Raw genomic sequence first — 23,818 nt, forward strand, 5'->3', positions numbered from 1 at the left:
TCCCTCTCTGTTGCCCAGGCCGGTCTCAAACTCCTGGGCTCAAGGGATACTTGCACCTTGGCCTCCAAAAGTGCTGGGATTACAGACCACCATGCCAGGCCTATCATAGAATTTTCAGAGACACAAGAGACATCAGCAACTATCTGGTCCAACTCTTTGTTCTACAAATAGGGAAACTGAAGCCTAGATGAGAAAAATGATGTACTTCATTACACAGAGATTTAATAGCAAAACAAGACTATGCTCTGAATTTTCAGTCCAGTGTTCTTTTCACACCACACTAATGGCATATTTTTAAGAATACTTTCCATTGTGAATTGCAGTACTACCTGTTCATCTTCTTGAACACATGTGTGTCGTATCCAACAGCTATACTGTGGACTTAAACTAAATGGATATACCCCCTTTTTAGTGGGGATGAGGAATGGAGAAGTAGAGCTATTGGATTATCTTCAGCAATAGAACTCTATATATAATATTTCCTGATAAGTGGGTTTTTCTATCAATTATCGTAATAGAATCTGTAGTTTTCACCATATATCCATAACACCAAAACTTATAATCGTGAAGCAAAACTGGTGTAAAGTTATGCAAAGTCTAATCTAAAACTGAGAATTTACTCTTTATTCAACATAAAATTTTATATGTAGTTCCTTCTTCTGGATTAAAAACATTTCTGGGCAGGGTGCGGCGCTCATGCCTGTAATCCCAGCACTGTGGGAGGCTGAGGCGGGCGGATCACGAGGCCAGGAGATCGAGACCATCCTGGCTAACACGGTGAAACCCTGTCTCTACTAAAAATACAAAAAATTAGCCGGGTGCGGTGGCGGGCGCCTGTAGTCCCAGCTACTCAGGAGGCTGAGGCAGGAGAATGGCGTGAACCCAGGAGGTGGAGCTTGCAGTAAGCCAAGATAGCGCCACGGCACTTCGGACTGGGCGGAAAAAAAACATTTCTGACTCAAAAGATTAATGAATTAACCAATTCATATCTCAGCCGTTACTCTGAGCCACGTCTCTACACACCCACAGGGTGCCTGTAGTGCAAGAGGGCCTATTTACAGAACACACACTGAAAGTATAAAAGATACACACAGAAAGAGAACAAGATAACAACTCAATCTCCATAAATTAGTTCCCAATTGCCTTTTATATCCAACTAAACCCTTGGCACAAAGTATATACCATATTATAAATCACAACTAAACAAATAAACAGTCTCTAAAAGATCTTCCCCATTTATTGAATCTATTAATAAATGTCTCAATTTTCAGTTACAATTGGCTTAGACGTCAATAACGCACAGCTAGATTATGAATTTATGAGCGGCTTGAGGTGCCAGATAAATTACTCTGTACTTAGAGACGACAATAAATATCAACTTCTAGACTAAGCACACTGACTAGTATATAACAGAAATATTATAAATATGACAATATTACAAATGCTTACTAAATACCAAATGCTATGATAGTTGCTTTGACTATATTATTCAATTCTTACAACAATCTAGTACTTTTATCCCCTCTTATTTTTCTGAAGATGAAACAGCATTGAGAGGTTAAAATAACTCCCTAAAATATTTCAGCAAATACATGTCAGAGCCTAGATTTCAATCCAAGTTTAGGCCCTATACAAAGATTTGCTGAATGAATAAAAATGAATTAGGAGAGTAACTTGTTTTTTTAAAAGAAGTTCCTGCAACATACTAACATCCAAAAAAGTCTGGTCCAAACTAACCAGATATGCAATTGATACTAATAACACCTATTAACTCACAAACTAGGAACACTGGCAGAGATACAACTTTAAGGCTCAAAGATTTAATGACCTCAGGTCTTTTCATTCCAAGAGTAATATACCCCCAAAACAGATCAATTCAACTGGCAAGGCATACAGGGGATTAGACAGCAATAATCCAGATTCGAAAATGCTACCCAAAATCTGCTGTAATAACCCAATGTGTGGACTAACACTGTCAAAAAAGTTCACAACAAAAATTTCAGTTTAGCGACAGGGACAATAGTGGAATTAATGACAAAACAGATAAGTTTATGGGAGGAAGCTTGTTTTGGAATATGAGGGATTTGAGACTAACATGACATCCAAGTAGAAATGCTTACAAGGCAGTCAGATATTTAAGGTTTGAAACAAAAGACTAAAAATAAAGATTTGGGTATCATGTACATAGAGATAATAATAATTGAAGCTGTAAGAATGGATGAATTCTTCAAGAGAGTGAAGACAAAGATAAGTATGATAGGCCAAAGATTGAGGAAAAGAAAAAAAGAAGAATGAAAAGATGGGAAAGCACTAGGTCAAGAGAGCCCAGGAAGATAATTTAAAGGAAGAAAAACTCAAAGACTAACACCAGAAATTTCATTTACATTTATCTTCCACATTCTGAAAAACTCCCTAATAAGAAATAGTAGTGACAAACAGCACAGTGTTAGAACTCAACAGGCACTATTTGACTAATACTGGTTCCCTTCTGTCTCCTCCGCTCACCCGTTGCTACACCTCCACCAGCCAGAAGAGAAGTGGAAAGGTCATGTTCTTAACAGGCATCATGAAGCGATGTGCCAATAAATATGCTACAAGCAAGATATTTTCATGAAAAGTATGTCAAACTTCAAAACAAATGTATCTATAACCCTCCCAACCATTTTTGTTTTTCCTTTTTTTTGAGACAAGTTCTCACTGTGTCGTCCAGGCTGGAGTGCAGTGGCACAATCTCGGCTCACTGCAACCTCCCCGTCCTAGGCTCAAGCAATTCTCTGGCCTCAGCCCTCCAGGAGCGAGCCACTGCACCCGGCCTTGTTTTTCCTATTTAATTTACAAATCATAAGCATTTTTTCCTCTGCAAAGATTAAATAGACTTAACTAAACTCCATCCCTTATTCTGTTTTCAAAGGTACTCAAAATCACTGAGAAATTATTACAGGCCCTAGACAAAATAATTAGAAGATAAGGAAGTCCGGAAAAGAGAAATAGCTCCCGATAATCCTTATAAACTGTAACATGGACAGTAAGAAAGACAACCATTAGGACACTGGAAAGAATCTGACCTACAGAAAACCAAAGTTGACTAATTTGAATGCTCTAGGAAACAAGTGAATGGTTATCATAATGTATCTTAGTATTTGCAGACTATTTTAGCATTTATACATGATATGAAGATTGAACTTACTTAGTTCTTGAAAAAAATTACAGGTGTTCGAGAAAAGATTGGATAGCCACTTATCAGAGTTCTTCCAGCTACATTATTCTAAACTACTGCAGGTTGAGTATCCCTTGTTTAAAATGCTTGGAACTAGAAGTGTTTCAGACTGCAGACTTTTTCAGATTTTAAAATATTTGCATATACATAAGATACCCTGGGGATGGGGACCAAGTCTAAATAAGAAATTCATTTACGTCTCATACATACCTTATACACAACAACCTGAAGGTTATTTTTTGCAATATTTTAATAATTTTGTGCATGAAACAAAGTTCTGACTGCATTTTGACTGCAACCCATCTCACAAGGTCAGGTGGATTTTCCACTTATGGCGTCATGTCAGCACTCAAAAAGTTTCAGATTTTGAGCACTTCAAATTTCAGATTACGGATGCTATTCATCATTAGTGTCTCAACAAAAAAGCTGTTTAGTAGGTAAGGTAGTTTAAAAGGACATACACCAGCAAATTTCTGAAACCAAAAGATTTGGAAGTTTCCATTTCTAAGCATGAATCTAGTAAAGGAGGTAGAGAAGAAACAATTTGAAAACCTTATTTTTGGGATTACAAAAACAACTCTAGAACTAAAGGACTGCACGTGGCACATAATACACACTAATAAGTAAGTATCAGTTACACAAATCAACAAAAGTCAAAATAACAGAAAAAGGCAACCAATGTAAAAGGAGTTTTGTTCCTATAATACATGAGAGGTCCAAAGTCCAGATAGGGAAGAACAAGAACAGACTCACTGAAAAAGCTGAAGTCACCTGATAGGTCACCCTGAATGACACAATGAATGAATGAACGAACGAATGCTCAATGTTAAACATAAAACATCATGCGAAGAAAATTCATGCTAGATACTACAAACCCAGAAAAAGGATTTTTTGTCTCTAAAGGAAATTCAGTCTTGGGCCAGGCACGGTGGCTCACGCCTGTAATCCCAGTACTTCGGGAGGCCAAGGCAGGCGGATTCCTTGGGGTAAGGAGTACAAGACCAGCCTGGCCAACATGGTGAAACCCCATCTCTACTAAAACTACAAAAATTAGCCAGGCGTGGTAGTGCACGCGTGTAATCCCAACTACTCGTGGGGGCTGAGGCAGGAGAATCACTCGAACCCAGGAGTCGGAGGTTGCAGTGAGCCAAGATCGCGCCACTGCACTCCAGCCTGGGCAACAGAGTGAGATTCCATCTCAGAAAAAAAAAAAGGAAAATTCAGTCTTTACCAAGTTCAGATTGACGGGGTAATAAAATTTCAGTAACAGCTATCAATAAACAGCTGTGGAACTAAACAGAAAAAGAGGACAAGATTATAAGATTTGAAGGGGAAAAAACAACCAAATCTGTCTGTTGACTATTCTCTTTAACAAAATGTTGTTTTAGAAGTGTTGGGCTCCATGATACCTGGCTGTCCTAACTCTGGAGGCCTTGATGGCTTACCTCCTCCACTCTTCCTCTTTGTTCAACCTTCATCTTTCACCCTCATTTTTCCCTCCATTGTTTCTCCCTTTACCATTATATCAACTTGCACCTTTGTGCAAATGACTTCTAAATCATTATCTGTAATTATGAGCTCAGTTCTGTATCTCCAACAGTCTACAGGTCATTTTCTCATGATTGCTCCACTATCCCCTCAAACACAACGAATCTAAAATTGAATTTATCTGTAGGCCTATTCTTCACAAGCAATTTCCAAACCTGACTTTGCTATTTTTACCATTCTCCCTATAATCCAGGCTCAACCTCTTTAGAGTCATCTGACTATTGCCTCTCTCTTTGGTTCCCCATCTTTTCCCTGCCAATAAAGTTCCATTAATTCTTCTTTTCTCATTCTCATGCCCCAATTTTGGGCTTCAATCATTTCTGGACTATTACAATAATAACAATTTTAAAAAACTGTCCAATCTCACTGTCTCTCCAATCTTTTCCCATGCTAACCCATCTTCCACACACCAGATTCATCTTCTTCATTCATCCTAGCACGGTCTTATTTATAAATATTTAATAGCCACAACAGTGTAAAGGCAATCCAAAATCCTTAGCCTACCAATCAAATCCTCCACAATCTAACGCTAATATTTCCTTCCAACCTTATCTTCCTTGTTTCCCCAAACATGTCATAGCCAGTCATGTCTCCACCCTCTATTCACGTTATCCTCCACTCCTCTTGAGTACCCTCTACCTAAATCCTATCCATCCATTATAAAACATACTTTGGCTCTCTCAACTCACAGTGACTTCTTTCTCTCAATTTCCAAGAACATACATTATCTAAACAATCATCTGGAATTTATCACATTTTCTCAATCTGTGAAGTGTTTAGCTTTGTTTCTGTGTATATATGTGAGACAAGGTTTTGTCTTCCATTAAATAGATTGGACTCTCAGGGAAAGAGTCATGACTTATATTTCCTTGTATCCTCCACATGTAAATAAAGGTCCCCACCAAATGAAGCTATAGCAAGAGGCCAGAAGATGATTTAAAGAAAAAGAAAGCTACTAAACCCTCCCTATAACACCACTCATGTAATAAGGAGATCGAAAAGCAAAATAAAATCAAAAATATATGAAAACTGGATAAATATTAAAAGATAAATCAGACTTCTTAGAAGTTATAGAAATCCTTACTACAAGATATATTCTAATTCCTTCCACTTATCTCGTTTAATAAAATGTTTTAAAATCTATTACGCATCAACCTTCTTTACTATCTCTCAATATAAAGAGCATCCATAATGTGGTGAGACATTTCAAACAACCCACAATAGTCTTATTTCCTGGTCAGGGATGCTTACAACAATTCTGAAAGCTTTGGGAAGCTTGTTGTAAAACCCATACACGTGGAAAAATACAAATAAACAGAAATTTAGAGTAACTGAAATGCACGTTAATTTTAAACAATCTACATTAATTTTCCTTTGATTCAAGATGCGATTTTTGAATTGTATTATTTCTTTGAATGGTATTATTTTGTTTCCTTAATCTTAATCCCCAAAATTGAGCATATCTAACATTATTTCACCGAAGACATTGTGAAATCCTGTCCATATACATGCTCCCTGAAACCTTATTTTAGAGATTATGTGGTTTTGTTTGGACCAAGAAATATTATATAACCCTTAGTTGTTCAGAAACTCTGAACAACTTTGATACATTTACAGAGGAAATGTATCAAACCTAAGAATTCCAATTATTTACAGATAACTGTATTATCAACCACTTAACTATTTTTAAAATGGGATTGTGGTTTTTCATGTCATAAAACCCTCTTTAGAATGTTTTACAAGTGACAATGTTAAGTGCCACACCACCAAAAAGACAGTTACAATAACTGTATGGTACGTACTTTTGTAACCAATAATACAATAAAATAAGTTAACACTGTAATTACCTATGACCAATTATCTTGGTTTTTTACAATAGTTTAGCAAAAAGTTCCTTCAAACTCAAATCACCTATGAAATTTTGGCTCAAAAATCACTTCCTCAATAGCAATTCTCCGTTATCATTTTCAAGGCTAAAAACTAAACCCCTAGGAGCTAAATCGCAAAAAGGAAAAAAAATGCAAAGTAGTCTTTCCAATTTAACTGTCAAACGGATCAGAAAGATTAACATTAATTACTACGATCGCCATTCAACAAACTGTATACATTGCAGTAACTCTGACGTGATAACTTTTTATAGGATGCCTGCAATAGCAGTTTGTAAGTATCTTTCGGGTACTCATGAACTGAGTCAGAATTAAAAGTTCAGAGTAGTTAGTACAGAGCCAGTCAAATGGCAAATAGGACCACACCATGAGATGTTAATGGTACTCCAAGATTCTTCAGGAAACAGAAATCTAGCATTTTCCAAGACGATTATGCACACCTGAGACTTTTGCAGCGAACCAGACTAATGCAAGAGGAAGGAAAGACATGCAAAACCCCAGACAAGCAAAAGAGAACAGCGCTACTCACCAGCAAACAATCCGAATTCACTTCCGATTTGGGATCCCGCAGCAGGTTGTCCATTTTTTCAAATCGAGTCTCAAAACTGTCCCCAGTCGACATGTTGCTGCTGCTGTGACAATGCCCTCTTACCAGCACCAGCAGCGGAAAGCAATTTCAACCAACTTCCTCCGCGGTGGGTTCGCAGCCGCGGGGCGGAGGAGCCGGAACCTCAGGGTCACCAGGTGCGCCCGGTTCCCCCGTCTTCCCCTCACTGAGGGGACCTCCGCTCTCCAGACCCCGGGCCGGGGGCAACAGCGACCCACAGCCGCTCGGACGCCCAAAGTCGCATCCCACCCGGCAGCCCCTCACGACAGCCGACAGCGCCGTCGCCACCAGCCTCGTCGCTCCGGCGAGGTGCTTCAGTCTAGCGGGCCCCGGCCGCCGTCGCCATGGAGGGGTCCCCGTCCCGAGATGGGCAGGAGCGGGTAGAGAAAGAGAAGCAGGGTGGAGACTCCCTCCGGGCAACAAGGGAGGGAGAAGAGGAAAGGCGAAAGCAAAGGGCGGGTGAGGAGCTGTGCCAGCTGCGGCCGCCGCTCGGGCCACGGGCCGGGCCCGCTCCGCTCAGAGGCGCTGTAGACGGTCTAGCCCCGCGTCCCCGGCTCTACTCGGCCCGGCCCGACGCACCGATCAGTCTCGGCCACGAGCTGGTCCACGCAGGACAGCCTCACTCTCCCATTTTGTCCCGTCGCTGCTGGGGCTGCTGCTACGGTGTCCGGTGGGGCAGGGCGAGGTCGATGCCCGATGGAGACTTAGCAGAGGAAAGGCTGGAGAGCGGGCGAAGAGGAAGACGATAGTTGGGTCCCGGCGGCTGCTGATGGGGGAGCTTCTGGGAGGGGCTGCGGTCCCAGCCGGGGAAAGGGCGAGTCGCGGCGGCGAATGCCTGGGGGGTGGGGCGAGGGGGGCTGAGAGGGACTAATATGTCCGCCTTCCTGTTCAAACAAACGGAGACCGCCGGGGCAGACTGCGCATGCGGGGCGCGGACGCTCGGAAGGGGAACCAGCCGGGACCCCGCGCGCGCGCGCGCACTCTGTCGCCTCCGCAGGGTGGGGTGGGGCGGGGCGGTGAGGTGGGCGGGGCCTTGCGGGCAGGCGGTGGAGAAGGCGGACCGCTGGGAGGAGCCGAGTGCGGGTAAGCAGCTGCCGGCAAGGTTCTCGCCTTGGCCGGCTCTGAGGAGCCATGCAGGGCTCTGGAGCGGCCTTGGAGGTCCGGACGGAGGCGGAGCTCTGGCTGCTTCTGATCGCTGTCCCGGCAGATGCCCCAGCTCTGTTTCCTCTGGGTTGCAGCCAGTCCAGAGACTTCTGACGAGGAGAGAGTGCTTGTTCTCCTTGTTGCTGTTAGGGTGGGGCAATAGGTTCTTTTTTAGGCAAGAAGCCTTTTCGTCGGCAGGTACCAGCATTGAGCACCAGTGGCGTTTGGTTTTCAGTGGTACTCCATGGACAGCCCTCCGCGAGCCCCGGCGTTGAACCCATTTACGATTCACTGGGAAAGTTCCGAAGCGCTGCAGCGCTCAGCCCTCCCACGCCAGGCGTGTGTGTCAGGGGAGCCATAAAATACTGACTCCGGAAGATACAGTCAATAGAAGTCAAGCTCAATTTAATTTTTTTAAAGGAAAATAATCTCGTAGAAAAAAATCAATATTTTTAAGTCGTTCGTGTTAGTTCTCATAACACCCCTACTGTAGTTCTCTCCTGGACGTGTAATGCTGCCGTTTCAATGTCAAAACATTCAGTGAAACTTAATTGTGATTTTTATCAGAACTAATGTAGGACATGAGAATAATGGGCATTTCTCCTAGTTCCGTTACTTCGTTGACTGTGGTGTGAGGAAAGGTGAAAGACTTGTCACTCACCCCCGCTGATAAAGTTATGTTCTTCACTGGTTTCAGCAGGAAATCTACCTTAATTTATTCCTCATCAAACTTTATTTTTGCTCAGAAGCCAAATTAAGGATCACTAGAAATAGAAAATGTGGATCTTTTACCCCATGATGGAAAATGCTACAGATGAACCAAAAAGCATCGGAGTAAAAAGCATCGTACAGCATCTGAACAGTCCACCAGCCTTACGATGTGAGTCAGAGGTTAGGAAAATCTTACACTGTTTGAAAAAATGTCTATTTCTATTTTCAATTTATTAAATACAAGAAATATTTAGATATAAAATCCACTATATATATCAAGATAGGACGTTCTTGGTTTATACAAAAATCATAACAAAGACAACTAGACAAACCAGGTATTTCATTAAATGCCTTTGCAGCGACTTTTCTTGGCTCCAGCATTTTAAGTCATGTGAATTAGACTTATTTTTAAGCATAGGGCTTAAAATAAATCAGGCAGTTGCCCTAAAATAAATTTCCTAAACCCTGCTTGTCTTTTTTTTATTATTATTACCATTTTTAGGTATTAGGAATTTTGTTGTTTCTCAGAGAACCGTGAACATTATGTTGCTTTCCATTTAGACACATACGAAAAAATACAAGTAGTTAAGACAATACATGAGTGACACTGATAAATATAAGTGGAAGTGATAACCAACCTGGCAGAACTACTAGAAATATATGTGGGGTCCATATATTTCTAGAAATATCTACTAGAAATATAGGTGGGGTCCATATATAGCTTACTTACCTACAAGGCTCTTCTGATTATTGTGACACATCACTAGTTATCTTCTGCCATAAGATAGATGGACTCTAAATCTAGTTATCTTCTGCCATAAGATAGATGGACTCTAAATTAACTTTTTTTTTTTTCTCCGAGGCGGAGTTTCACTCTTGTCTACCAGTCTGGAGTGCAGTGGCACGATCTCGGCTCACTGCAACCTCTGCCTCCCGGGTTCAAGCGATTCTCCCGCCTCAGCCTCCGGAGTAGCTGGGATTACAGGCACACGCCACCACGCCCAGCTAATTTTTGGTGTTTTGTTTGTTTTATTTTGTTTTGAGATGGAGTTTCACTCTTGTTGCTCAGGCTGGTGTGCAATGTCGCGATCGCGGCTCACCGCAACCTCCACCTTCTGGATTCAAGTGATTCTCCTGCCTCCCGAATAGCTGGGATTACAGGCATGCTCCACCATGCCCAGCTAATTTTGTATTTTTAGTCGAGATGGGGTTTCTCCATGTTGGTCAGGATGGTCTTGAACTCCCGACCTCAGGTGATCCGCCCACCTTGGCCTCCGGAAATGTTGGGATTACAGGCGTGAGCCACTGCCCTGGCCTATTTTTATATTTTTAGTAGAGATGGGGTTTCACCATGTTGGCCAGGCTGGTCTCGAACTCCTGACCTCGTGATCCACCCTCTTCGGCCTCCCAAAGTGCTGGGACTACAGGCGTGAGCCACCGCGCCAGGCCAACTTTTTTTAATAAAGAGGTCCTCACCTTTAATAGGGTGGAATCATATTATATTAAAAATTCCCTTCCATTAGCTGGGCATGGTGGCAGGCACCTGTAATCCCAGCTACTCTGGAGGCTGAGGCAGGAGAATTGCTTGAACCCGGGAGGCGGAGGTTGCAGTGAGCCGAGATGGCGCCACTACACTCCAGCCTGGGTGACAGATCGAGACTCTGTGTCAAAAAAATAAATAAATAAAAATAAAATAAAGTTCCCTTCCAACCTTAAAATTCTATCGTCTAATTGTGACTAATCTCTTCCAAAGTATTGTGGATATTTGAGATCACCCTTAAAATATAAAGTATGTTAAAATCCTACATGCAAGTGCAAAATACTGATACCATGTATAAATATAATAATAATATAACAAACATACTGAGTGCTCACCATGTGCTAGGTACTACTCCATACACTTTATACATAATCTCTTTAAAACTATGCCACAGATGGGGAAACTGAAGTGCAGAGAGAAATGTTGTTAATATTTGCTCAGACCCTGATTGGAACAGAGACAATCTAACTACAGAACTCCCCCATTCATAACTATGACTATGTTAACACTATCTAGTCCTAATACAGTGACAAGTATTTAACAATTGGATTATTTACATTAGCACAGATTTAAATGATTCCATGTAAATGAGGGAGTTATAGAATTTGCAATATCATCAGTCTGATTACAGTCCTTAGGTAAAGATGTGAAATGATTTTAGCAGGTTGAATGAAGAGGGTCTTGAAGGGTGGGTGTGGTGGCTCACACCTGTAATACCAGCACTTTGGGAGGCCAAGGCAGGCAGATTACTTGAGCTCAAGAGTTGGAGACCAGCCTGGGCAACATGGTGAAATCCTATCTCTACAAAAGAATACAAAAATTAACCAGGCATGGTGGCACCTGTAGTCCCAGCTACCGAGCAGGCTGAGGTGGGAGAATTACTTGAGCCTGGAAGGCAGAGGTTGTAGTGAGCTGAGATCATGTCACTGTACTCCAGCCTGGGCAATGGAGCCAGACCCTGTCTCAAAAAATAAAAAAAAAATTTTAAGAAGGCCTTGAAAATGTTCAGTAACACCGAACTGACTAGGGATTCCCAAACACTGGGTCCAGGAACCAGTGGCAGTCCTTGGTGGGATTTTCATGACTTGCAGCAAAATGAGAACAATAAAGATATATAGTTAAGTTTTCATAAAGTAACCAGATCTAAGGCTGCCCTTCAGTATGAAATTCTGTTACTTTTTAAAAAATTAAACATACTTTAAGAAGCAAGAGTAATAGTAGATGGTACATTTTTTAATGTTCTTAATTGGCAATTAAAAAATTACGAAGTTGGCCAAGTGCAGTGGCTCATGCCTGTAACCCTAGCTCTTTGGGAAGCCAAGGCAGGAGGATCGCTTGAGCTCAGGAGTTGCAGACCAGCCTGGGCAGCATGGCGAAATCCCCGTGTTTAAAATTAACCAGGCGTGGTGGTATGTGTCTATAGTCCCAGCTACTTGGGAGGCTGAGGCAGGAGGATTGCTTCAGCCCACAAGTTCATGGCTGCAGTGAGCTAGGACCAAGCCACTGCATTCCAGCCTGGGTGACATAGCAAGACCCTGTCTCTAAAAAAGAAAAAAATAATTATTAAAAAAAATTTACAAAGTTGACAACTCTCTGTAAATATATAGACTAAACTAGTTATATCTTAATTTTTCTGAATTTTGGAATTCAGGCATCTGGAAACATTTAGTGTAGATGAGAGTCATGCTAGAACCTAATGAAGAGACTGCAGTGCTGAAAGAATTTGAATGAGGCATATTTGGGAGAGATCATGGAAACATCAGAAAGATTTGGGTGTAGACTTCTGTATAGTAAAAGACAATTAAGCTGAGCATTCCTTTGCTTTTGGTCATTTGGTAGGAAATAGGCTTGGTATCATGTTCGTGAATTTCTCTAATAAACATTGATGTGTTAGCTAGCCTCCAAAGATTGCCCCCAATGAACTATGTCTCCAATATTCACACCCTTGTGGCATTCCCTCCCACACTGAATCCGGGCTGGGGTCTTGTGACCTGCTTTAACCAGTACAATGCAGCAAAAGTAGCACTGTGCCAGCAGGAGGCCTAAGCTCTGAGGGTGCCTGGCAGCTAACAGTTTTATGCTCTGGGAAGTCAGACTAAACTGAGATCACCATGGTGTGAGGAAACCCAAGCTAAGTAACCACATGAACAGATCACATGGAAGACAACCAAAGAATCCTACAGACCTTGAGAACAGAGACCCCAGACTGGCCCATTCCAGCAGCCCCCAAGCTTTGATGGCACGTAGAATAAGAAACAAGCTGATCCCTCCAAGCTCTCTGCCCATACTGCAGAATCATGGGCAAATAATAAAATGGTTGATACTTTGAGCCACTAGGTTTTGGCATAGTTTTACAGCAATACAAGACAAAACAGTTGAATTTCAGAAAAGAATTAATCATAAGTAAATATATAGAGAGATATATGTTGGGAATGCCTTTTATACTTCTTTATATTACCCACTATGAAAGGAAGCTGCCCACAATAGACCCTTGGTAAAGGAATGACAGACTAACTCATGTTAATCTTCACTTCAGTGGAAACTCTGTCCAAAAGAAATGTAAAAGCTTTTTAAACAAATTAAAGAATGATTTCAGGTGTTTTAAGTTATTACAAAATTATCATATTCTCATATAAACACATTCTACCTATGTTTTTCTATTTCCTCAATTTAGAAGATAATCATGTTTATTCTATTTCAAAAACATACCAAAAATGCAGGTATGATCACACATCAATTCTAATTCAGTGCTATAAATTGCATGTTATTTCAAAAATGCATACCACAAACGTGTTAACAGTGTGATGTGGCTAAGTTCCTATAGAAACTTTAGCTAACATTTCCAAGAAAGTATGATACTTATTATGTTTAATATAACTTTCCAAAGGGCAATACCTTTTTTATTCACATAGAATAACTTCACTTGATACTGAACAACTTTAGTAAACAGAAAGTTGTAAAAAATTAAGTTCAGTTCTGTTTTAACAGGTTGGTTTTATATGATTAATATTTACCCATAAGTAGTTTATCTGTGTGTATTTTCCTAGATCTGAAAAGCGAATCAAGAGAGTATGTTCCTTTACCTAAGAGTACTCCTTTTGAGATCAGTCAAGCTTTTCTTTCCACAAGACATTCAGGCGTGGGAGTAAATGTATTTTGACATTTTTAGATCTACTATGGCCTTGATGCTGCCTACGCAGAGTTGGGGATGTAGGCATCTATCAAGATTACAGCAAGGAAAAGTGTAGGGCAAGCTGTGAGCACAGAGTACCCTTAAGACTTCTCCTGACTCACCCTGGAATGCCTTCCTCTAACATCTGTTTTTTATTTCTTAGAAGCTGCTATTCCATTCAACTGCAAAAATACTTGCACTGACCCTAGAAACAGAATGAAGAAATAGAGGGAAAAGGATTTTTGTAAAACAATTACTTCCCTGCTTGATGCCATTGCCATTTTGATAACACTACTGTTATCAAACTCACAACCCCGAGCATGCAAATGGCTGATATTACAATTTATTCTAAGGGTGGGGGCTGTTATGTTTGTGGAATTTCTGAGATAGTTGGTATGTGGCCATAATAAGAGAAGGAAGCCCAGATCAAGGAGTTACACATAGCTGGTTACATACTCTTTCTCATTTTTTTGTAACAGCTTCCTATCCAGATTTCCCCCTCCCACCCAGCACCACTCCACTGAGTTCCAAGACCAAGTGTACTTTCTGTCCTATTGCTTTTTAGGTTCTGACATCTTCCTCTTTAATGTTCCTAAACTGGTGACTTGCCTTTTTTTGGCAGTGACGGGCTCGTCACTCAATATCTACTTCTCTTTTTTATTTGTCATAACTTTTATCACTCATCTCAGTCCCAACTTTCAGACTTCCATACCAAACACTTGGAAACAGAAAAATGTTTCTGACATTTCACTGTTTTCCCCTCCCTTCTATCATTCAAATACCTCCTGAAATGTAACCTCCTCCCTAAAAATCTCTCTAACTGGAAGAGAGACACTGATTCCTTATGCCCACCCATATTTATATAAATGTTACCCTTACACTCTCTGTGTTCTTTCTTAATAGCCATGATAACTCATACACTTTACCCCTTTTAATTTGCAGTGTAAATACTCTGCTAGTTGAATTTATACATTTGTTTTTGTTTATGTGTTCTTGTCATTGCTGCTTCATACATTCCCTAGGGCATAGGCTAGGACGTTAAAAGCAATAATCATGTTTTTCTTTTCATTGTAAAAATAGTTCATGCTTATTTTTAAAATTTTGGAAAATATGGAAAAGTAAGCAGAGAACAAAAATCACCCATATTCCCACCACCCAATTACCATCACTGTTGATGTTTTTGGAGTTTCCCTTTTCATCTTTTTTCTCCCTCTGCAATTGTTTGTTCATTTTATATGCTATATGTATAATTATTGTATACATTTTTACAGCGTACAGTCTTATATTTACTCTAATTGTAACTTTTGAAACCTGCATAATATTCCATTCTAGAAATTTACCATAGTTTGCTTAACCATTACTCTGTTCATCTATAAATAATGCTACTATAAACATCTTTGTACATAAAGTTGGGTTTTTTTTGTAAATAATTTTATCTCTTCCTTGATGATTTAGAGGGACTATCTTCAAACCAGTACAAATATTTCACACATAATGCCTGGACTTTTTCTAAGAATTCAGTAATTTGTTGCACAATAAGCTACCTCACATATTTCAATAAGAAATACATTAAATTTGCATACTGAAGACATTACATAATGAATTAGGACACAATTAAAATTTGCTTTAAATATTTCTTTTGGGGAGAGGAGACCACACTTCTACTCAATGAAGAGAAACATTTTTACAGTCCAGAGATCATTTATTTTTTTAACACCTATGATGCCATGTATTCATAGGGAATAGGTTCCAGCAGCTCAGGCTGCTTCCCATTGGTTCTCACACAGTGTGCTTCTCTGGGTAGAGCAGGCTGGGGCTTCAGTTGAACCCAGGTGCCTTTCTCTTTGGCTTCTTTCTTTTTCTGATCATTTTCTTTCACGCGTTTCAGGAAGCTATCTCAGCTCATAGAGTGCTTAATGTGCTCAATACGCACATTAATTCTCTTGGCAAGAATCTTGCCCTTAACTTGTTTGTTAACAATGCCAACAGCATGCTGGGGAACATTGTAGACTCTTCCAGTTTTGCCAAGGTAACACTTGTGGGGCATTCCTTTTTGGACAGTACACATTCCCTTGATGTCTACAATGTCACCTTTCTTATAGATTTGCATATACGTGGCCAAAGGAACAACTCCATGTTTTCTAAAAGGCCTAGAGAACATATATCGGGTGCCTCTCCTCTTTCCCTTTGTGTTCGTCATTTTGGCGAATTACTAGAAAATGGCGGTTCCGGCCAAAAGGAAGGGAGTTTTTTGTTTGTTTGTTTGTTTTAATTTGGTAATACAAGTTTATGCTCCCACTATTAGTAGTTGCATGCCTTCTTATTTATTTTTATTTATTATTTATTTTTTATTTTTTTGAGATAGAGTCTCACTCTGTTGCCCAGGCTGGAGTGCAGTGGCCGATCTCTGCTCACTGCAACCTCCATCTCCTGGATTCAAGCAATTCTCCTGCCTCAGCCTCCTGAGTCGCTGGGACTACAGGGCGCATCATCAAGCCTGGCTAATTTTTTGTATTTTTAGTAGAGACAGGGTTTCCCCACATTGGCCAGGCTAGTCTCGAACTCCTGAGCTCAGGTGATCCGCCTGCCTGAGCATCCCAAAGTGCTGGAATTACAGGTGTGAGCCACCACGCCTAGCCTTCGCGCCTTTTATTTTTTCCTCAGCACTGGGTGTGTTACTATTTACATCTGAGCTCATTGTTCTATTGATTTGCATATCATTGATTATTATGAGGTTGGATATGTGTTCCATATGTTTGTCAATTAGTTGTTTTTGTTTTTTTTGCATTAATTTACATTCTGTGCCTATTCATCAATTGACTCAGAATTTTTCTTATTGATTTGTATGAATATAAATACAATACTAACCTTTATCAATTGCACATTCTTACCAATTTTTTTATTTATTTTTAAATTCTGAGTATATTTTTGACAACCAAAACGTTTACTTTTTTAAACAATTTAATTTGTGTGTCATTCTTGCACAGGAGCCATGCTAATCTCTGTATCTTTCAATTACAGTATATGTGCTGCCCAAGTGAGCATTTCTTTTGCTGTTTTTATGTTTAGAAAGTCCTTCCACTTTCCGGCCAGGCGCAGAGGCTCACGCCTGTAATCCCAACACTTTGGGAGGCCGAGGCAGGCGGATCACCTGAGGTCAGGAGTTCGAGACCAGCCTGACCAACATGGTGAACCCCGTCTCTACTAAAAATACAAAAAATTAGCCAGGTGCGGTGGCGCATGCCTGTAGTCCCAGCGACTCGGGAGGCTGAGGCAGGAGAATCGCTTGAACCCGGGAGGCGGAGCTTGCAGTGAGCCGATATTGCCGCCACTGCCCTCCAGACTGCCGACAGAGCAAGACTCCGTCTAAAAAAAAAAAAAAAAAAAAAGTCCTTCCACTTTCCAAAGGCTTAATATATTTTTATTTCTATTTACTTTTGTCCCCGCACTCTCCCACCATGGCTTGGTTTTCCATATTTTATTTTTAATTATAAGTGAATATATTTTGATGTATTAAAGAAGGTGAGAATCTGTTGTACTTTTTCAAATTGCTAAACAATTCTATTAATACCATCTATTAAATAAGTTTGTCTTAATGATTCATTGTGATACTTTCATTAACAAGGATGAATTATGTGTAACTATATTCCTGCTCTCTTCTATTTCATTGTAAATATATTTATTCTACTAGTATAGTAATATAACTATAGTCATATGGTGTGTTTTGATAGCCCAGAAAATCTAGTCTTCTTTTGTTACTTTTCTTCTTTAAAAAGTTATTTTAACTTGTTATTCTTACATACGAATTTTGGAATAAGTTTTCAAGTTCTTCCTCACTGTACCCCCATTCCACTGCCATTTTAACTGAAAATATTTTAAATTATAATTTAATTTGAAAAGAAATATTTATGCTATTCCCAATCAATAATTGGTAACTTTTATTCAAAAAAATTATTTTTATTTCAGACAGGGTCTCACTCTGTCACCCAGGCTGTAGTGCAGTGGCACAATCACTGTTCACCATAGCCTCGACCTCCTGGGCTCAGGTGATCCTCCCACTTCAGCCTCCTGAGTAGCTAGGACCACAGGTGCCTGCTACCACACCCAGCTAATTTTTGTATTCTTTTGTAGAGACAGAATTTTGCTATGTTACTCAGGCTGGTCTCAAACTCCTGGGCTCAAGCAATCTGCCTGCCTCAGTTTCCCAAAGTGCTAGGATTACAGGCATGAGCCACCACACCCAGCCCAAAAATGTTTAAAAATATTTTTTAACAAAATGTTATAGATGTTATCACCTGGACCACACAGATTTTTCACTGAGATTATTTCTGGATATTCTAAAAATCTTGCTGTCATTCTGAAAAGGACTTTTATTTTGATTATTTCACTATTATTGATTATGATATATTTAGCATCTCTTACCCAGCCATTTTATTGAACTTATTGTGTCTACAAAATTTTCTCATTTTGAAATTTTTAAGGGTTTATTGATAACTACCATATTTTAATGTAAAACAATATCAATTATAAGATATATAATTATTTTACATACCACCAAAGGAAAGGACACTAACAAGCTATCATTTTTGAGATGTATCTCAATTTCAGGGAGTCTAAAATGTGAAAAAAAAAATCTTAAATTTGACAAAATATCATGTGTTAGACATACTAAATAATGTTTACACATTTGGTTTGGTTTCTTTCTTACCAGTAATCATACCTCACATCTATTTCAGGTCTCAGTGCTTTAACTACAGCAGTAGAGACAGACAACAGATATCCTTGTCTTTTGTCAGTTTTCCTCAGAAACAACTCATATTTAAGCATATGTTAAGTTTTGATTTAAAATAAATACTCGCTATCATGTAAAGACTGTATTTCTATTCACTGATGTATGGACATCAGTTAAATACTAACATCATATCTACTACAACATATGATTTTATTTACCTAATGTTTTTCTTTAACTGTGTAATTTTTTTAGATTTAAATTCCACTAAAAAGGAAGCTTTACACCATTATGGAAGATGGAAAAACATAATCATTTTCTATAAATGGAAGGCAACCATAAAAATAAATAAAATAACACAAAAACAATGTTGTAACATTCTATTACTATTCCTTGCTTAAGGCTTTGAGCTTGGTTGAGTGCCATGACTCATGCCTGTAATCGCAGCACTTTGGGAGACCCCGGCGGGCAGATCACTTGAGGCCAGGAGTTTGAGACCAGCCTGCACAACATGGCGAAACTCCATCTCTACAAAAAAATATAAAAAATTAGCCAGGCATGGTGGCGAGCACCTGTAGCCCCCGCCACTTGGGAGGCTGAGGTGGGAGGATCACCTAAGCCTGGGAAGTAGACTGCAGTGAGCCATGATTGCACCACTGCACTCGAGCCTGAGCAACAGAGTGAGACCCTGTCTCAACAACAACAACAAAAAAGGCACTGAGCCTAATGCCAACTGCTCAGTGGAAAAAAAAAAAAAAGGACATTAGGAAGTGTTAGGAAAGTGTTAAGACTGTATACTAGTGCACCAAACTCAAACTTTCTTCGGAAGTAATTAGACTACGAAGATAATTGACATAGAATAATGTTATCACTACAGTTAAAACTATGCTGAGTCCCATCTAAAATTATCTATCCAATCTGCTTTTGAAGCTTCATTAGGAATTTGTTTAATATTTTATCAATTGCTTTTTTGGTATATGTTGAAGTTATTATATAGCTAATGATTGACATATGTATCATATAAAGAAAGTTCCAGGCCAGGCACAGTGGCTCACACTTATAATTCCAGCATTTTGGGGGGCCGAGGCCGGCTGAATCACCTGAGGCCAGGAGTTTGACACCAGCCTGGCCAACAGGGTGAAACCCTGTCTCTACCAAAAATACAAAAAAATTAGCCAGGTGTGGTGGTATGTGCCTGAATCTCAGCTACTTGGGAGGCTGAGGTAGGAGAATTGTTTGAACCTGGGAGGCAGAGGTTGCAGTGAGCCAAGATTGCACCACTGTACTCCAGCCTAGGTGACAGAGACTCCATCTTAAAAAGAAAAAAAGAAAGAAAATTTCTAATATTATGTTACAAGGGTAATATTATGTTACCCTCATAGTTCTAGAGATAAATACACACACATTCATCCCAATGTACTGCTACTTTTGAACGGTTTATTTAGGATTTTCCTATTTACAACTGTATCACCAAGGTTTTAGGTATTTTGATGTGGTTATTGCAGGAAACAGAAACCAACTTAAGCCAATTTAAGCAACAGCAGAAAGTATAGCTGGGCACCGCCAGGAACTAAAACCAGGAGATGAGAAGCTCCGATGAACAAGCATGTTCTTCGAATTTTCAGGCCTAAATGGTTTCCATCTTTTCAACTACGTCTACTTTATTCTTTTCCCCATGTCCTTAAAACCAACTTTTTCTACTTTTCTCTACATATAAGCCAAATACAACTTCAGCATCATACACATACAGTGAGTTTAACAGAGATTGAGAAGTATCTCTTGTTGCAATCCATATTCTGAAAATTTTATACTATCCTTATTCAAACAATTAGTATATGTATATGATCACACAAATTTAAAAGAGACAATGGGGTATACAATGAAAAGTATTATTATAATTCTTCCTCCATTAATTGTATAATTTTTTGACTTAAAAACGTTATACCATTATGGAAGATGAAAAAACATAATTTTTCATAAATGGAAGGCAGCCATAAAAATAAATAAAGCCTCCATAAGCCACTTAGTTCCTTTCACAAAAGGAAATGGCTGTTCAGTTTCTTTTATTCTTCCCATAGGTACACAATCATATCCATATATACATATATTTTTTAGACAGGGTCTCACTGTGTTGCCCAGGCTGGAATGCAGTAGGGCGATCATAGCTCACTGCAACTTCAAACTCCTGGGCTCAAGTGATCCAGACTACAGGGGTCCAGCCAGCCCACTGAGCTAATTTTTTCTATTTTTTGTAGAGATGGATTCTCACTTGTTGCCCAGGCTAGTCTGGAACTCAAGCAATCCTCCTGCCTCAGCCTCAAGAGTAGCTGGGATTACAGGCACTTGCCACCACGATGGGCTAATTTTTTTCCATTTTTTTGTAGAGAGGGTAAGGTGGGGTCAAGGGAGTCTCACTTTGTTGCCCAAGTTGGTCTTGAACTCCTGGGCTCAAGCGATCCTCCCACCTTGGCCTCCCGAAGTGCTGGGATTACAGGCATGAGTCACTATACCTGCCCTCATTTTTTTTTTTAAAATTTCTTCTTAATTGTTGTTTTTGCTTTCTATAATTTGCTCTATAACCTTGACCTTATTTTCCTCTTGCTTCTGCAATGATTTGGATTTCGGATTAAAAAATTCTTGTTAGTTTACTAATAATTACCTTGAAACATAAGCAATGTTGACCACACATTTCTCTGATCATAAATTTAAAAATAAAATGATAACTTTCTAACTTTCTATTTGGATGAGAAACTTGGCACATTTGCTGCCTCAAACTTTATCTTTCTCTCTTTTAAAAACACTATAACCTTTTTTTCCAAGTTTTACAATACTAATTCAGATTTGTACCTAAACTATGATTAATGTTTAGATTTCTTTCTGTATGTTTAATTCCCATGTTTATTTCTAGTCCTAGAGAATCTGTTTTCTTGAGTTTTAATTTTGACTCATTTTGGGCAACCTAAAGTAAAACTTTAAATAATTTTAAAATGAAAAATACTTAGGTGAAATCTTGCTTGGGTAAGAATGCCTATTGTCTTCACATCAGTGACAACATGGGTAGATAGAGTTTTCTCAAAATTCATTACATTTGCTCCATTTTCTTTTTTAGACTCAGTGCCACTGAGAAAAAGTTAAAAAACAATCTGCGCTTTGCTACTTTATAGGCAATGTTTTCCAGCTTAGCTCTCGTAAGATTCTTTGTGTATTTCTGAAATTCAAAAACTTGACTGGTATAATCCCAGAGGTGCATCTCCCATAATGTTTTTCTAAAAGAGAGAACTCTTTGACTCGGTTTTTTCTCCTCAGTAAAATTTTCTTCTCATATATTAGTTTATTGATTATGCCCCATTTATTTTGTTTTCTTCTTTTGGAACATCAATTATCAATACTCACAGTCTTATCTCTGTCCTCATCTGTTTTTATTTTTCTTTCTTTTATTCTGCATTCTGGGAAGACTTCAAAGTTTGTCTTCTGAAACATGAATTTAATTTTCTGCACTGAGAAATTATTTTTACCTATTAGTAAATCTCTAGTACTTCATGATTTGATCTGTAAGTCTGCTATAAACTGTTCCCAAAATGGATGTTGAGTCACTGCATTTTAATTTCTATTTTAAAAAATTTTTTTAGAGACAGAGTCTCATGTTGTCATCTAGGTTGGAGTGCAGTGGTGTGATGATAGCTCACTGCAGCCTCAAATTCCTGGGCTCTAACAATCTTCCCACCTCAACCTCTGGAGTAGCAGGGATTACAGGCACACACCACCATACCTGGCTAATTATTTTTGGGTTTTTTTTTGAATTTTTTGTAGAGACAAGATCTTGCTATGTTGCCCAGGCTGGTCTCAAATTCCTGACCTCAAGTGATCCTCCTGCTGCAGCCTCTCAAAGAATTACTGCCTTTTAAATTTTTGATTTCCTTGAAGGCTTTTATAGCCTGTTTTTTTTTGTTTTGGTTTGTTTTGAATCTCAATCTGTTTTCATCTCATCTTAGACTGCTTTTTTTTTTTTTTTTTTTTTTGAGACGGAGTCTCGCTCTGTCACCCAGATTGGAGTGCAGTGGTGCAATCTGGGCTCCCTGCAACCTCCGCCTCCTGGGTTCAAGCAATTATCCTGCCTCATCCTCCTGAGTAGCTGGGACTACAGCAAACGCCACCATGCCCGGCTAATTTTTGTATTTTTAGTAGAGACAGGGTTTCACCATGTTGGCCAGGATGGTCTCGATCTGCTGACCTCGTGATCCACCTGCCTTGGCCTCGCAAAGTGCTGGGATTACAGGCATGAGCCACTGCACCTGGCCTAGACTTTTCTCTCTTTTTAATAGCCTGTTTGTATTTCATAGGTGCAGATATAATATATACAATTAGATATAATATCTGATATACTATATATAATACACTGTATATAATATATACAAATATAATGTATATTTAGTAAAACATACAAATTGAGTATACAACTCAATGGACTTTTATATATGTATACACCTGGGTGAACACTACCCCAGTCAAGATATAGGACACTTTCTTTTTTTGAGACGGAGCCTCGCTCTGTCGCCCAGGCTGGAGTGCAGTGGTGCAATCTCGGCTCACTGCAACCTCTGCCTCCCGGGTTCACGCCATTCTCCTGCCTCAGCCTCCTGAGTGGCTGGGACTACAGGCGCCCGCCACCACTCCCGGCTAATTTTTTTGTATTTTTAATAGAGACGGGGTTTCACTGTGTTAGCCAGGATGGTCTCGAGCTCCTGACCTCGTGATCCACCCGCCTCAGCCTCCCGAAGAGCTAGGATTACAGGTGTGAACCACCTCGCCCGGCCAGGACACTTTCAATACTCCCGAATATTTCCTCACTTTCCCTTCCCACAAACCTTACCCATCAAAAGTAATCAATATTCTGATTTCTATCACCATAGATTCGTTCTACCTGGTTTTGAACTTCATGGAAATGAAATAATACAGTATATACTTTTTTGTGACTTCTTTGGTTTTTCATAGTTTTTTTTTGCATTTTTTATTGTGGTAAAATGTACTTAACATAAAATATGCCATTTTAACTATTTTTCAGTGTACAATTCAGAGGCATTAAATACATTTACATTGTTGTACAACCATCATCACCATTCATCTCCAGAACTTTTCCATCTTTCCAAACTGAAGCTCTATTCCCGTTAAACAACAACTCCCCAATTCTTCTCTCCCCACAACCCTTAACAACCACTATTCTACTTTCTGTCTATGAATTTAACTATTTTAGGCAGCTCATGTAAA

At 39.5% G+C, this 23,818-nt stretch overlaps 1 protein-coding gene and 2 pseudogenes across 1 annotated transcript in view, besides 6 other annotated features; all 3 read right to left on the bottom strand.

Annotated features, from left to right (window-relative positions):
• The window catches only part of ROCK1 (Rho associated coiled-coil containing protein kinase 1), a 164,908-nt gene extending 156,732 nt beyond the window's left edge, over positions 1-8,176 (bottom strand). The window contains exon 1 of the mRNA NM_005406.3: positions 7,181-8,176. Within this exon, the coding sequence (NP_005397.1) occupies positions 7,181-7,273 (93 nt within the window). The 5' untranslated portion in view covers positions 7,274-8,176. The remainder of the gene's footprint in view (positions 1-7,180) is intronic.
• Positions 7,829-8,417: an enhancer, noted in NCBI's record as "NANOG-H3K27ac-H3K4me1 hESC enhancer chr18:18691427-18692015 (GRCh37/hg19 assembly coordinates)". NCBI's record gives its function as "activates a minimal SCP1, AML or CMV promoter by ChIP-STARR-seq in primed H9 embryonic stem cells {active_cell/tissue: H9 hESC(primed)}" and the evidence as "EXISTENCE:reporter gene assay evidence [ECO:0000049][PMID:30033119]".
• Positions 7,829-8,424: a biological region, named in NCBI's record as "NANOG-H3K27ac-H3K4me1 hESC enhancer GRCh37_chr18:18691427-18692015".
• Positions 8,035-8,424: a silencer, noted in NCBI's record as "silent region_9340". NCBI's record gives its function as "represses an Ori minimal core promoter by ATAC-STARR-seq in GM12878 lymphoblastoid cells {active_cell/tissue: GM12878}" and the evidence as "EXISTENCE:reporter gene assay evidence [ECO:0000049][PMID:35858748]".
• Positions 8,071-8,365: an enhancer, noted in NCBI's record as "tiled region #9828; HepG2 Activating DNase matched - State 1:Tss, and K562 Activating DNase unmatched - State 1:Tss". NCBI's record gives its function as "activates a minimal TATA promoter and a strong SV40 promoter by Sharpr-MPRA in HepG2 and K562 cells {active_cell/tissue: HepG2 | K562}" and the evidence as "EXISTENCE:reporter gene assay evidence [ECO:0000049][PMID:27701403]".
• Positions 8,465-8,684: an enhancer, noted in NCBI's record as "active region_13131". NCBI's record gives its function as "activates an Ori minimal core promoter by ATAC-STARR-seq in GM12878 lymphoblastoid cells {active_cell/tissue: GM12878}" and the evidence as "EXISTENCE:reporter gene assay evidence [ECO:0000049][PMID:35858748]".
• Positions 8,715-8,774: an enhancer, noted in NCBI's record as "active region_13132". NCBI's record gives its function as "activates an Ori minimal core promoter by ATAC-STARR-seq in GM12878 lymphoblastoid cells {active_cell/tissue: GM12878}" and the evidence as "EXISTENCE:reporter gene assay evidence [ECO:0000049][PMID:35858748]".
• On the bottom strand, positions 15,513-16,066 carry RPL21P128 (ribosomal protein L21 pseudogene 128; annotated as a pseudogene).
• Positions 16,767-16,869, bottom strand: RNU6-120P (RNA, U6 small nuclear 120, pseudogene; annotated as a pseudogene).

Source organism: Homo sapiens, chromosome 18, assembly GCF_000001405.40.
Source record: "Homo sapiens chromosome 18, GRCh38.p14 Primary Assembly".
Lineage (NCBI taxonomy): Eukaryota > Metazoa > Chordata > Mammalia > Primates > Hominidae > Homo > Homo sapiens.